Here is a 15,353-nt window from a genome sequence, read left to right on the forward strand (position 1 = left end):
ACTTTCTTGAGCTTAGATACCAACTTGGCCCAACTGGGGAAGAGCATTAAGAAAGCTCTTGGGGTTCCCAATTCCAGGCTTTGGCTCTTAGCTTCTCTGGACCTACTCTGGGCCAGAGGAGAAGCCACTGCCCTGAAAGGTGAGTCCCAGGCCTGGTAGCATTCACCAGCTGACTAAAGAGCCTTGGGCCTTAAGTGAACCTAGGCGGTACCCTGGCAGTACTCCCCATGGGTCTGTGGTGGCGGTAGACAAGTGGAGCCTTCTCTGCCTGGGGAAAGGGGAGGGAAAAATGGGAAGAACCTTTTCTCATGGTTGTGGCACCAGCTCAGCCTCAGTAGAATAGAGCACCAGGTAGGTTTCCAAGGATTCTGATTCCAGGCCCTGGCCAGACCAAGTACAGTCCCAGTAGGGCCGGCCACAGGGATGCCTGTGTCACCCCTCCCCCAATTCCAGGCAGCTCAGCACAGAGAGACTCCATTTGTTTCAGAGAAAGCAAGGGAAGACAAGAGTCTCTGCCTGGTAATCCAAAGAATTATTCCAGATCTTGTCCAAGACCAGCAAGGTGGCAACTCTGTAAGTCTGCAAAAACCACAGCTTTACTGAGCTTGGGGTATCCTGTAACTCAGATATATAGCTGCAGTGACCAAAAACTGAGATCACAACACTCAAGTCACTGGAAAGTCTTCCCAAGAAGGATGGGTACAAACAAGCCCAGACTACAAAGACTACAATAAATACCTAATTCTTCAATGCCCAGACACCAACAAACATCTACAAGTATCAAGCCCATCCAGGAGAACATGACCTCACCAAACTAAATAAGACACAAGGGACCAATCCCAGACAGACAGAGATATGTGACCTTTCAGATAGAATTCAAAATAGCTGTTTTGAGGAAACTCAAAGAAATTCAAGATGACACAGATAAGGAATTCAGGATCCTATTAGACAAATTTAACAAAGAAACTGAAATAATTTTTTAAAGTCAAGCAGAAATTCTGAGTGTGAGAAATGCAACTGACATAATGAAGAATGCATCAGAGCCTCTTCATAGCATAATTGATCAAGCAGAAGAATCAGTGAGCCTGAACACAGGCTATTTGAAAATACACGGTCAGAGGAGACAAGAGAAAAAAGAATAAAAAACAGGCCGGGCATGGTGGCTCATGCCTGTAATCCCAACACTCTGGGAGGCCAAGGCAGGTGGATCACCTAAGGTCAGGAGTTCGAGACCAGGCTGACCAATATGGTAAAACCCCATCTCTACTAAAAATACAAAAATTAGCTGGGCATGGTGGCGTGTGCCAGTAATCCCAGCTACTCGGGAGGCTGAGGCAGAATCGCTTGAACCCAGGAGATGGAGGTTGCAGTGAGCCGAGATCCCGCCACTGCACTCCAGACTGGGCGACACAGTGAGACTCCATCTCAAAAAAAAAAAAAAAGAAAGAAAAGAAAAAAGAATGAATCATGCCTATAAGATCTAGACAATAAGCTTCAAAAGGGCAAATCTAAGAGTTATTGGCCTTAAAGAGGAAGTAGAAAGAGATAGGGGTAGAAAGTTTATTCAGGCCGGGCGCAGTGGCTCATGCCTGTAATCTCAGCACTTTGAGAGGTGAAGGTGGGTGGATCACCTGTAGTCAGGAGTTCAAGACCAGCCTGGCCAACGTGGTGAAACCCTGTCTCTACTAAAAATACAAAATTAGCCAGGTGCAGTGGCACACGCATGTAATCCCAGGTATGCGGGAGACTGAGGCACAAGAATCGCCTGAACCTGGGAGGTAAAGGTTGCAGTGACCCGAGATCGCACCTGAGTCAGGGTGACAAGAGTGAAACTTGTCTCAAAAAAAAAAAAAAAAAAAAAGAATAAGAAAAGAAAAAGGAAAGAAAGAAAGTGTATTCAGAGGGATAACAGAGAACTTCCTAAACCCACAGAAAGATATCAATATTCAAGTACAAGAAAGCTGTAGAAAACTAAGCCGATTTAACCCAAGGAGACTACCTCAAGGCATTAATAAGCTCCCAAGGTCAAGAAAAAAAAAATTCTGTAAGCAGAAAGAGAAAAGAAACAAATAATATACAATGGAGCTCCGTATAGGCCAAGAGTGGCATGACATATTTAAAATGCTGAAGCAAAAAAAACTTTTACCCTAGAATACGTCAAACATGAATGAGCAATAAGTTTGTTCCCAGACAAACAAAAGCTGAGGAATTTCATCAACACCAGACCTGGCCTACAAGAAATGCTAAAGGGAGTTTTTTTAATCTGAAAGAAAACGACGTTAATGAGCAGAAATTATTTGAAGGTACAAAACTCACGGGTAATCAAAAGTACACAGAGTCTGGGCACAGTGGCTCATGCCTGTAATCTCAGCACTTTGGGAGGCCGAGATGGGTGGATCACGAGGTCAGGAGTTCAAGACCAGCCTGGCCAAGATGGTGAAACCCTGTCTCTACTAAAAATACAAAAATTAGCCAGGCGTGGTGGCACATGCCCATAGTCCCAGCTACTCGGGAGGCTGAGGCAGGAGAATCGCTTGAACCTGGGAGGTGGAGGCTGCAGTGAGCCAAGATAGCGCCACTGAACTCCAGCCTGGGTGACAGAGCGAGACTCCATCTCAAAAAATTAAAAAATAAAAAATAATGAGCCAGGCATGGTGGCCTTTAATCCCAGCACTTTGGGAGGCTGAGGCGGGCAGATCACAAGGTCATGTTCAAGATCAGCCTGGCCAACATAGTGAAACCCCATCTCTACTAAAAATACAAAAATTCTCTGGTGGCGTGTGCCTGTAGTCCCAGCTACTCGGGAGGCTGAGGCAGGAGAATCACTTGAACTCAGAAGCCAGAGGTTTCAGTGAGCCATAATCATGCCACTGCACTCCAGCCTGGGTGACAGAACTAGACTCCATCTCAAAAAAATAAAAATAAATAAATAAATAAGATAATGGATTATAAGATAGTATTTTCAAGCCTCATGGTGACCTTACATCCAAAAACATACAATGGATACACAAAAAATAAGAAGCAAGAAATTAAAACATACCACCTAAGAAAAATCACCTTCACTAAAAAAAGATAGGAAAGAAGGAAAAAAGAAGAGAAGACCACAAAACAACCAGAAAACAACAAAATGACAGTAGTAAGTCCCTATTTGTCAATAACATTGAACATAAATGGACTAAACTCACAATCAAAACACTAGAGTGGCCGAACTGAAATACACTTCACCTATAAAGACACATATAGACTGAAAATTAAGAAATGGAAAAGGATATTACATGCCAATGAATCCAGTATAGCAGGAGTAGCTATACTTATATCAGACAAAAGAGATTTTAAGACAAAAACTGTAAGAAGAGACAAACAAGGTCATTATATAATGATAAACAGGTCAATTCAGCAAGAGTATGTAACAATTGTAAATATTATACACCCAACATTGGAGTACCCTGATATATAAAGCAAATATTATTAGAGCTCGAGAGATAAATCTCAATTCAATAATAGTTGAAGACTTCAACACCACCCTTTCATCAGACAGATCATCCAGACATAAAATCAACAAAGAATCATCTGACTTAATCTGCACTATAGAACAAATGGACCTAACAGATATTTACAGACGTTTCATCCAATGGCTGAAGAATACACATTCTTCTCCTCAGCACATGGATCATTCCCAAGGATGGACCATATGTTAGGCCACAAAACAAGTGTTAAAACATTAAAAACAAACTGGAATAATATAAAGTATCTTCTCTGACCACAATGGAATAAAACTAGAAATCAGTTAACAGGAGGAATTTTGGAAACTATTCAAACATATGAAAATTAATCAATAGGCTCCTGAATCATCAGTGGGTCAATGAAGAGATTAAGAAGGAAACTGAAAAATGTCTTGAAACAAATGATAATGGAAACAGAACATACCAAAACCTATGGGATACAGTGAAAACAGTACTGAGAGAAATTTATAGCTTTAAGTGCCTACATGAAAAGAAAAACTTCAAATAAACAACCTAATGAACTAGAACTAGAAAAGCAGAGCAAACCAAACTGAAAGTAGAAGAAATAATAAAGATTACAGCAGAAATAATGAAATTGAAACAAATAAGACATAAGAACAATAAAACAAAAAGTTGGTTTTTTGAAAAGATGTAGAAAACTGATAAACCCTTAGCCAGACTAATGAAGAAAAAAGAGAAAAGATTCAAAATCAGAGATGAAAAAGGAGACATTACAACCAATACTGCAGAAATACAAAGGATCATTAGAGCCTACTAGGAGCAACTATATACCAATAAACTAGAAAATCTAGAAGAAATGGATAAATTCCTAGACACAAACAACCTACTAAGATTGAACCATAAAGAAATCCAAAACCTGAACAGACCAATAACAACTAACAACATTGAAGCTATAATAAAAAGTCCTCCAGCAAAGAAAAGCCTCGGACTCCATGGCTTCACTGCTGAATTCTACCAAACATTTAAAGAATTAACACCAACCCTACTCAAACTATTCTGAAGAATGGAAGAGGAGGGAATACATCCAAACTCATTCTATGAGGCCAGTATTACCCTGATACCAAAACCAGACAAAGACATATCAAAAAAAAAAAAAAAAAAGAGAGAGAGAGAGAAAAACCTACAGGCCAATATCCCTGATTAATATTGATGCAAAAATCTTCAACAAAATACTAGCAAACCAAATTCAACAACACATTAAAAAGATCATTCATCATCAACAAGTGGGATTTATCCCAGGGATGAAAGGATGATTCAACATATGCAAATCAATCAATGTGATACATCATTATCAACAGACTGAAAGACAAAAACCATATGATCGTTTCAACTGATACTGAAAAAGCACTTGATAAAATTCAACATTCCTTCATGATTTAAAAAAAAAACCCTAAAAAAACTAGGTATAAAAGGAACATACCTCCACATAATAAAAGCCATGTATGACAGACCCACAGGCAGTATCACACTGAATCGGGAAAAACTGAAAGCCTTTCCTCTAAGATCTAGAACAGAACAAGGATAAAAAATTGACAAACCTTTAGCCAGACTATGAAGGAAGAAAGGAAAAAAGATTCAAATAAAATCAGAGATGAAAAAGGACTGGAATTGCTGTAGTTAGGACTAGAATTGCTCTAGCTAGAGATGAAAAAGGACTGGAATTGCTCTAGCTAGCAGTTAGACATGAGAAAGGAAAAAAAGGCCATCAAAATTTGAAATCAAATTATCCTTGTTTGCAGGTGACATGATCTTATATTTGGAAAAACCTGAAGACTCCACCAAAAAGCTATTTGAACTGGTAAACAAATTCAGTAAAGCTGCAAGACACAAAATCAGCTTAGAAAAATCAGTAGCATTTCTATAAACCAACAAGGACAATCTGAAAAAGAAATCAAAACAGTAATCCCATTTACAATAGCCACAAAGAAAATTAAACACCTAGGAATTAACTGAACCAATGAAGTAAAACATCTCTACAATGAAAATTATAAAATACTGATGACAGAAATTGAAGAGGCCACAAAAAAATGAAAAGATATTCCATGTTCATAGATTGAAACAATCAATATTGTTAAAATATCTATATTACTCAAAGCAATCTACAGATTCAATGCAAATGCCTAGCAAAATACCAATGACATTCTTCACAGAAATAGACAAAATAATCCTAAAATTTAAAGCACAAAAGACCCAGAATAGCCAAAGCTATCCTGAGCAAAAAGAATAAAACTGGAGGAATCACATTAACTGACTTCAAATTATATTGCAGAGCTATATTAACTAAAACAGCATACTACTGCCACCAAAACAGACACATAGACCAATGGAACAGAACAGAAAACCCAGAAACAAATCCACATACTGACAGTGAACTCATTATTGACAAAGGTGCCAAGAACATACATTGGGGAAAGAAAAGTCTCTTCAATGAATGGTGCTGGGATATCCATATGCAGAAGAATGGAACTAGACCCCTATCTCTCACCATATACAAAAATCAAATAAAAATGAATCAAGACTTAAATCTAAGCCCTCAAACTATGAAAGTACTACAAAAAAATTGGGGAAACTCTCCAGGACATTGGATTGGGCAAAGATTTCTTGAGTAATATACCACAAGCACAGGCAACCAAAGCAAAAATAGACAGGTGGGGTCACATTGAGTTAAAAAGCTTCTGCACGGCAAAGGAAACAACAAAGTGAAGAGACAACCCACAGAATGGGAGAAAATATTTGTAAACTACCCATCTGACGAGGGTTAATAGCCAGGATGTATAAGGATCTGAAACAACTTTTTTTTTTTGAGTCTCACTCTGTCGCCCAGGCTGGAGTGCAGTGGCACAATCTCGGCTCACTGCAACCTCTGCCTCCCAGGTTCAAGCGATTCTCCTGCCTCAGCCTCCTGAGTAGCTGGGATTATAGGCACATGCCACCACACTGGCCAATTTTTTATATTTTTGGTAGGAAATCAGCATATTAAAGAGATATCTGCACTCTCATGTTTACTGCAGCATTATTCACAAAAGCCAAGATTTGGAAGCAACCCAAGTGTCCACTGACAGACAAATGGATAAAGAAAATCTGGTACATATACATAATGGAGTACTACTCAGCCATAAAAAAAGAATGAGCTCCTGTCATTTGCAACAACATGGATGGAACTGGAAGTCATTATTTTAAGTGAAATAAGCCAGGCACAGAAAGACAAACATCACATGTTCTCATTTATTTGTGGGATCCAAAAATCAAAACAATTGAACTCATGGAGACACAGAGTAGAAGGATGGTTACCAAAGGCTGGGAAGAGTAACAGGTGGGCTGAAAGGAAGAGGGGATGGTCAATGGGTACAAAAAAATAGAAAAAAAGAATAAGATCTAATATTTGCTAGCACAATGGGTTGACTATATTCAATAATAATATAATTGCACACTTTTAAGTAACTAAAAGAGAATAATTGGATTGTTTCTAACACAAAGGATAAATGCTTAAGATGGTGGCTACCTCATTTACCCTGATATGATTATTATATATTATATGGTGTATCAAAATATCCCATGTAACCCATAAACATACACATCTGTGCACCCATGAAATTAAAAAAATTTTAAATTGTAAAAGTTCATATTAAAAAAAATCTCTACAGACAAGAAAAATATACTAGAAAGACGTGCTCACAAAACAGATAGGAACTATAACCTCTATATTAAAACAAACTAAAATACATGTAAAACTCTGTAAGACATAAACAACATAATTAGAAATAAAACTTGGAAATGAGCTGATAGAATCTAGAAATTAGTAACTTTTAAAAACTAATTATTTCTGAAATGAAGATTAAAGAAGGAAAATGAATGAGTAAAGACTACAGACAATGCCTTAAGAGAAATAGAGATTAAAAGGAAAACAATTTTAAAAAATTAAAAAGAAATGAAGAAGAAATATGAAAATGACAAAGATAGGCAAAGAAGCTCAAACATACACATAATAGTGGTAATTGAAAAAGAAAACTAAAACAACAGAACCAATTAAAAAAACTATAATTCAGGAAACTTTCCTGATTTTAAAATTCATACAGAGCTGCAAAAGATCTATAAAAGACAAAACAACTTTGAAAAAGAACAGGCTGGCCATGGTGGCTCACACCTGTAATCCCAGCACTCTGGGAGGCTGAGGCAGGAGGACAGCTTGAGGCCCAGGAATTCAAGACCAGACTGGGCAACATAGCAAGACCCCATCTCTACAAAAAAAAGATTAGCCAGGCATTGTGGCATGAACCTGTAGTCCTCGCTACTTAGGTGGCTGAGGTGGGAAGACAACTTGAACCCAGGAGTTTAATCAGTGAGCTATGATTGTGCCACTGCACTCTAGGCTGGGTGACAAAGCAAGACCCTATCTCTAAATTAATAAATGAATGAATGAAAAAGAAGAACAAAGTTGAAGGACTAATACTATATCATTTCAAGGTTTATAAAGCTATAGTAATCAAGACAATATAGCATTGATATCAAGATAGACAAACAGATTAATGAAACTAAATAGATTCCAGAAACAGACTCATACATATATGGACAACTAATTTTCACCAAAGATACGAAGGTAATTTAGCAGGAAAAACGATAGTTTTTTTTTTTCAATAAATGATGCTAGAACAATGGGATGCCCATGTACAAAAAAAAGAGAAAGAAACAGGACTTTCAGCCATATCTCACACCATATACAAAAAAATTAAAATGAATGACATAAATCTAAAACTTAAAATCACAACATGTCTAGAAAAACACAGAAAAACTGTATGGCCTTGAGTTAGGCAAACATGTCTATGATATGACACCAAAAGCATGATACAATTCAAGAACAAATGGGGCTTCATAAAAATAATGTCTGCTCTTTAAAATATAACATTCTGAGAATGAAAAGAGAAACCACATACTCAGAGAAAATAGTCAGGAATCAGAAAAGGTTCATATCCAGAATATATAGGGAACTCTCAAAACTTAGTAAGGAAGTTAACATCAACAAGAAGTAAACAACTGAACTTAAAAATGGTCAAAAAATTTCAATAGACATTTCACAAAAGAAGACATACAGATGGCAGCTAGGCACACAAAAAGATGCTAAACATTGTTAGTCAGGAGGGAAATGCAAATTAAAACACACGATGTGACACCACTACACATATTAGAATGGCTAAGAATGACTAGACCAAGTGTTTTCGAGGATGTGAGGGAACTAGAACTCTCATATACTGCCGACGGGAATTTAAACTAGTACAACCACTTTGTAAATCACTTTGGCTATTTCTTAAAAGGTTAATAAGCACTTACCATAAGACCCAGTCATGCCATTCCTAGAATTTACCCAAGAGAAATGAAAGCATTATGTCCACACAAAGACTGTACACAAATGTTCGTAAGAGCTTTATCTATAATAGCCAGAAACTGGAAACAACTCAAATGTCCAGCAGCAGGTGAACAGACACACAAACTGTGGTATACCCATTGGATGGAATACCCCTCAGCAATAAAAAAGAATATGTGCAACATGGATAAATGTCAAAATAATTACGCTGAAAGCCAGCCATAAAATAGTACATACTATAACATTCCATTTATATAAAACTCTAGAAAATGAAAACCAACTGTGGTGATAGAAAGCAGATCAGTGGTTGCTGAGAGAATTGGAGGCTAGACACAGAGACTACTAACGAGAACAAGGGAATTTGGGGGGATGATGGATATATTGACAATCCTGATTGGGGTGGTTTCATAGGTGTATATGTAAGTCAAAACTTATACTACATATGTGCAGCTTATTGTATATTAAATATATCAATAAAGCTGTTTTAAAAATAAAGTTTTCCTGAAATTTAAAAAAAGATTTGAAACTACAAATGGAAAGAAAATATGAAGTACCTGAGAATACTGACCCAAAACAACCAACACAGTGATATATTCTAATATTATTAGCAGACTTTAATGAAAAAGAAAAAATTTGGCTGGGCGTAGTGGCTCATGCCTGTAATCTCAGCACTTTGGAAGCCTGAGGCAGGTGGATCACTTGAGCCTGGGTTCATGACCAGCCTGGGCAACTTGGCAAAACCCTGTCTCTCAAGAAAAAAAAAAAAAAAAATTAGCTGGGTGTGGCAGCATACACCTGTAGTCCTAGCTACTCAGGAGGCTGAGGTGGGAGGACTGCTTGAACCCAGGAGGTGGAGGCTGCAGTGAGCCAAGATCATACCACTGCACTACAGCCAGGGTGACAGAGTAAGACTGTATCTCAAAAAGAAAAAAAGAAAACAAATTATTTGGTTATCTACAAGAAAAAAACCCACATGACTTATAAGAAGAAGAAAAATTAGATAATAATCTGACTTTGATACCAATACTTTATTCCAGAAGAAAAAGGAGTAATGTATTTAAGAAATTCACGGAAAAGAAGTGTGAGCCAAAGACTTTATATCTGCAAAATTGACTTTGAAGTATAAAAAGAATAAACTTTGATCAATATATAAGAACTCAGACAATATTACTTCCCGAGGAATCTAACAATGTATTAGCTTCAGGTAGCCAAAATGCCTAGAGAGACCTCAGCATAAACACTGGTGGTAAACATTAAATATATTAATAGAACTAATAGGCTAAGAGGGAAAAAGCAGAACATGAAATGGCTATATACTCTGACAATGCAGATAGAGCATAACTGTTAAAACAGAGAGAGAAGAAAAAATGAGAAGAACATAAGCCAAAAAAAAAAGGTTTAATGTTTTCAGTAATCATATTGATGGTGATTTCAGAAATATAGTTCTGATACTGTCATATGTATAATACAGAATAATGAGTAAATATGGAATATTCTATTTTCTCCTATATTCTTGAGAATCATGATTCTCAGTATGGAAAAAAGGAGTTACAGTTGTGATAGAGAAGTTGTTAAGTAAAAGCTCTGTAATCTCAATCTGAAGACTGGAAGTAGAATACATTAGGTATCTTTTAACATGTGTGTCTATAGACAGATACAGGTATCCTAGCTCTGTCTACTGAAATGCCTGAAACAGTGACTAACTCAGGATCTTTAGCATTCAGACTGTAACTGAAATATTATTTCCCTCTAAATGAAACCCGGGCATTTTAAAGAAATGGCTGATTTCATATCTGCGATAGGAATTGTTCAATATATTATATAACAAGGAAGCTATCAAAAACTAGGAGGCCAGGCTCACAGTGCAGCTTGGCCAACATGGTGATACCCCGTTTCTACTAAAAATACTAAAAAAAAAAAAAAAATAGCCGATCCTGGTGGTGTGTGCCTATAATCCCAGCTACTTAGGAGGCTGAGGCAGGAGAATCACTTGAACCCAGGAGACAGAGGTTGCAGACAGCTGAGATCGTGCCACTGCACTCCAGCCTGGACAACAGAATGAGACTCTATCTCATAAATAAATAATAAAAAAAAAACAGGGAAGTGATTACTACAAAACTATAAAACCCAGAAGAATGGTGACTAAATGGGAACACAGGAGTTTTGACTGGGATAGGGTAATGGAGGGGATCTGGCATACCTGAATGGTATGGTCCTGTAATAATTTATTAAGCTATACATTTGGTATGTGATTTATAACAAAAATTTCATTTTACGCTAAAAAGATTTTGTTAAATAACAAAAAATAGAAAAGTAAAGGAAATGCTAACCTAACCAAAATAAAGCTGGTACGGGTTGAACGTTCCTAATATGAATATTTGAAATCCAAAATGCTCCAAAATCCAAAACTTTTTGAGCACCAACTTGACACCACAAGTAGAAAATTCCACACCTGACCTTATGTGACAGGTCACAGTCACAACTTCATTTCATGCATAAAACTATTAAAAATGTATAAAATTAGCTTCAGGCTGTGTGTATAAGCTGTATATGAAACAATAAATGAATTTTGTGTTTAGAGTTACCCAACTCTAAACAAGATACCTCATGTATATACAAATATTCCAATTTTTTTTTTAATCTAAAAGTCCAAAACATAGTTCCAAGCATTGCAGGTAAGGGATACTCAACCTGCAGAGCTCTGTAGCCAGACTGCCTGGGTTCAAATCATGGATTCTGCCACACAGCCAGGAGAGTACAGTACTAATCTCTGTGTGCTTCAATTTCCTCATCATAAAATAAGGATAATAAAAGTACTCAGCTCACGAGTTAAAGATTAGAAGAGTTAATATAGAAAGAACATAAAGCATTGTCTGGCACACAGCAGGATGGAGACTGTGATTAGAGTTGGTGATCAGCTTTCTGTGTTATCTTAAGTAGGTATTTAACCTCTCTGAGCTTCAGCTTCTTTGCTGAGTTGTAAAATATCTACCTGATAGGATTATCAGGAAGTCAAAAGGAAATATATGTAATGAACCTAGTATAGTACTCAATAAATATTAGATTTTTTTCCATGGCCTCCCAACATCTGGAGTCATCCGTTACATTAGACATACCTCAGTCATAGCATATTACTCTTGCACTTTACACCTGGTCATTCAGGTTGATCTCAATGAAATGATCACCCAACGAGTCTCATGTCTGAAACTGGATCTTCATCTAGGTTTCAAAAAGATAAAAAGAACAAAATCTTGAAATGTTCAACCTCCTAGTAAGAATGGTCTTGTGTTACTCCCAGAGCAGGCATCCAAGGTACTGGTAATCACAGATAAAGCAGGCACAACTGAAATAACTGCTAATGGCCTTCCCAGCTCACCATCATATGCCTCTTCCCTTCTCTTCTCTCTCCTTCTTATCTTTCCTCTCCCTACCTTGTTAAGACATTTAGCTGGGTATCCAAATCTATCATCATCTATCATCAATTCTGACTTCTGGCTCCACAGGTAGGATATTCTCATTTGCAAGGATACTAAAATGAAGCATCCTCAGACAAACTACCACTGATCACAAAAGCAAACACAGGAACAAAACTACTCCTCATTTGCACCTGTGACCAAGCCCTCCTTTTCAGAGGACCATTCTGTGAAATAAACGGGCCAATAGTTTGCAGCAGCCTTTTCCCCACTACAGGCTGTGACAGGACAAAGGTCTGGAACTTTAAAGTCACAGGAAGAGACCAAATGCTTTCTAGGGCCAAAACAGAAGCTACAGCTTTAATTACTGTCATAACACACTTAAAATAAGATTGTTGGGGGTAGGAGTCGGGGGGTAGGAGTCGGAGGGTAGGAGTTGATTTGTACATGGCATAGTAAGCCAAGCATAGAAAAGCAAAAACATAATTGCATCTTCTGGCACTTTCTAGGTTTCCCGAGTCTTTCAGCCAAATTGCCCTTTATAGGTCTGAAGCCCCTTGTAACATGCTCCATATCTTAAAATTTAATTATTTTTTTCACCATTTGGGGTGGGGGAGGGGAGCTGACAATAAACCATGGCCAATAACTGTTCCTTCTCAACTGAATCACACCAAAATCTGTAAGCATCTTCAAAAGTATATACTTCAAATTACTGCAATAAATGAACATGTAACCCTTTCGAAGTCTCTATTCCTTATTAAATGCAAAAGCTCTATTCTAAAAATATTGCAACTTGCTGTTTAATGTTCCTAAGAAAGAGCTGAACTTACCCCAAATAGGAAAGAGTTAAAATGGAATGTCATCTCAACCAAATCATTCTGTCTCAGGAGAGGTGACATGAAGGGGCAGAACCTTGCTTTGAAGCAAAAGCTGTAGGGAAAACTCCAAGTCAGCCACCTCTTCCCCAAAAGGCGGGGCAGGGGAGGCCAGAGTCTACTTGGCAATATTTAAAGTACAAAACTCATGCAGAGGCTTGAAACCAATATGGGTAATGCCTGCACAGAGTTTAATATATTATACATATATTTTTGAGACAGAGTCTCGCTCCGTCACCCAGGCTGGAGTGCAGTGGCGCGATCTCGGCTCACAGCAACCTCCGCCTCCCGAGTTCAAGCGATTCTGCTGCCTCACCCGCCCGAGTAGCTGGGATTACAGGCGCACACCACCATGCCCAGCTAATTTTTGTATTTTTAGTAGAGACGTGGTTTCATCATGTTGGCCAGGGTGGTCTCGAACTCCTGACCTCAGGGGATCCGCCCACCTCGGCCTCCCAAAGTGCTGAGATTACAGGCGTAAGCCACTGCGCCCTGCCTGTTTAATATCATTGATTGAAAAACAAAGTGGCAGTAAAAAAGGAAACTCTGATTGGTCTCTCTGTTACAGGTGACTTAGCCTTCTGGCATTTTTCACCTTGAAAAACTCCTATTAGGCCCTGTATAAAGTCAGAGGTCTCCTGAATCCGGAATGAGGTTAATAAACTGGAGAAAGAGATACTCACCTGTGCTATTCGCCTAACCGCCCCCTTCTGCTCCGAGTCCTCACTCCCCAAACAACCTTCGCGGTTGTTTGACACAAAACTAGCGCTTCAGCCCGGGTCGATTTTGGGGGATGGAGTAATTACCTACAGCTTAAATCGAGTCTGTGCCCGACGTGATTCTAAGCTTTACTCTTACTGCCTCATTTAACCCTCACAACCACCTTGTAAGGCAAGAATTACCAGCTTTAGTATACAAATAAAGAATCGGAGGCGCTGAGACATTAAAGGAGAAGCCAAAGAACACAAAGCCTGGGGAGCTGGGACTGGAGGCAGTTTTGTCCGATCCCCAAACCCTTACGCAGGGATTTTTAATTGGCGCGACCCTGTCCCAGATGGCTCCTCCCCGACAAGGGTCAGTCTGACCACTTTTAGGCCCAGGTGAGGTCAAGTCCGGGGTACTCCGGGAAGGGGCTCACGCCGACGCCTCTGAGAGCCCCGAGAGCCACTCACCTTACTCAGTCGCCGGCCTCCCACCAGCAGCCAGCCGGGCCAGGTTAGGCTGGGATCAGCTACGTCAGGCCCCGCCTCCGCGACCGTTACCACCGCCGGGGGAGGGCGGCCAATCGAGCCCGAGCGCGTCGAGGGCCAGCCCCTCTTTGGCCTGCGAATGCCCCCAAACGATTCTCTCCAGCCTCTCCGGGAAGCTGGGTCCGCCCCGCTCCCTCCGGTTGGCTCACTACGGGGGGCGGGGCTTACCGCAAACGAAGGCGTCGGTGCGATGTGCTGGTCTCGGGCACGCTGGCGCTTCCAACGCACTCCTTGGGTGCCCTGTCACTTACATGGAGGCTTATTTGCCCGGAAGACGTCAGAAATACTTGTGGCCGTGGGTGAAAGTGAAGCCTGGGTTACCTGGCCACCAGAGACTGCCCTCTCTCTCGCCCCCTACCCCGCCGCGACTACGAGCCCTTGCTGGGGTACGGGTCAGCATGTTCTCGATGTTCCAGACCTGAATGACCACTGTAGCAGCTGACATTTGGAGGACCCCAATAAATATTTGTTGACGACAGTTCATCTTCCCATTCAGCATTTTCCACATCTCGACGAAGCGTCAGGCCCTACCTGAGGCTGTAGCTGTCCACCATTGTCATTGTATCTTATAGCCACATGGTGTCGCTGTTGACAACTTGTCTTTTCAAATCAGTCAAATGATGTAGGTCTGTGTTACAGTCAAATGTTGCAACAGACTGTGTTGCAGTCAAATGATGCAGGTCCCACAGTAGCCAACAGGGATGTCCCATCTAGGGCATCAGCCAAGGGTCTCTCATCAGGAGATCCAAGGGCTCTTGGAGCTCAATACTTTCAGACCCTTCTTAGCCTTCTTCCAGGCAGCTGGGACTACACTTAGGTTTGATCTCTGTGTTTGCCCCATGCAAACATGTCCCTACCCCAACCTACGCCTACCCACTGTGCTTTCCATACCTGGATATTCACTCTAACGACGGTTAGCAGATTGCATTTTC

General features: G+C 39.6%; 1 protein-coding gene across 20 annotated transcripts in view, besides 1 other annotated feature; it reads right to left on the reverse strand.

Annotated features, from left to right (window-relative positions):
* Positions 1-14,406, reverse strand: part of CEP70 (centrosomal protein 70) — a 99,917-nt gene extending 85,511 nt beyond the window's left edge. For 15 of the 20 annotated variants that reach the window (NM_001288967.2, NM_001288965.2, NM_001288964.2 and 12 more), the window contains exons 1-2: positions 14,344-14,406; positions 12,000-12,102 (exon numbers count right to left, since the gene is read on the reverse strand). In NM_001288967.2, the coding sequence (NP_001275896.1) occupies positions 12,000-12,008 (9 nt within the window). In that variant the 5' untranslated portion in view covers positions 12,009-12,102; positions 14,344-14,406. Of the gene's footprint in view, positions 1-11,999; positions 12,103-13,854 lie in introns of those variants that run through there. The other 5 variants (XM_047449023.1, XM_047449020.1, XM_017007274.2 and 2 more) reach the window with 2 other exon arrangements.
* Positions 14,611-14,670: an enhancer, noted in NCBI's record as "active region_20603". NCBI's record gives its function as "activates an Ori minimal core promoter by ATAC-STARR-seq in GM12878 lymphoblastoid cells {active_cell/tissue: GM12878}" and the evidence as "EXISTENCE:reporter gene assay evidence [ECO:0000049][PMID:35858748]".

The sequence above is a fragment of the Homo sapiens genome, chromosome 3 (genome assembly GCF_000001405.40).
Source record: "Homo sapiens chromosome 3, GRCh38.p14 Primary Assembly".
NCBI lineage: Eukaryota > Metazoa > Chordata > Mammalia > Primates > Hominidae > Homo > Homo sapiens.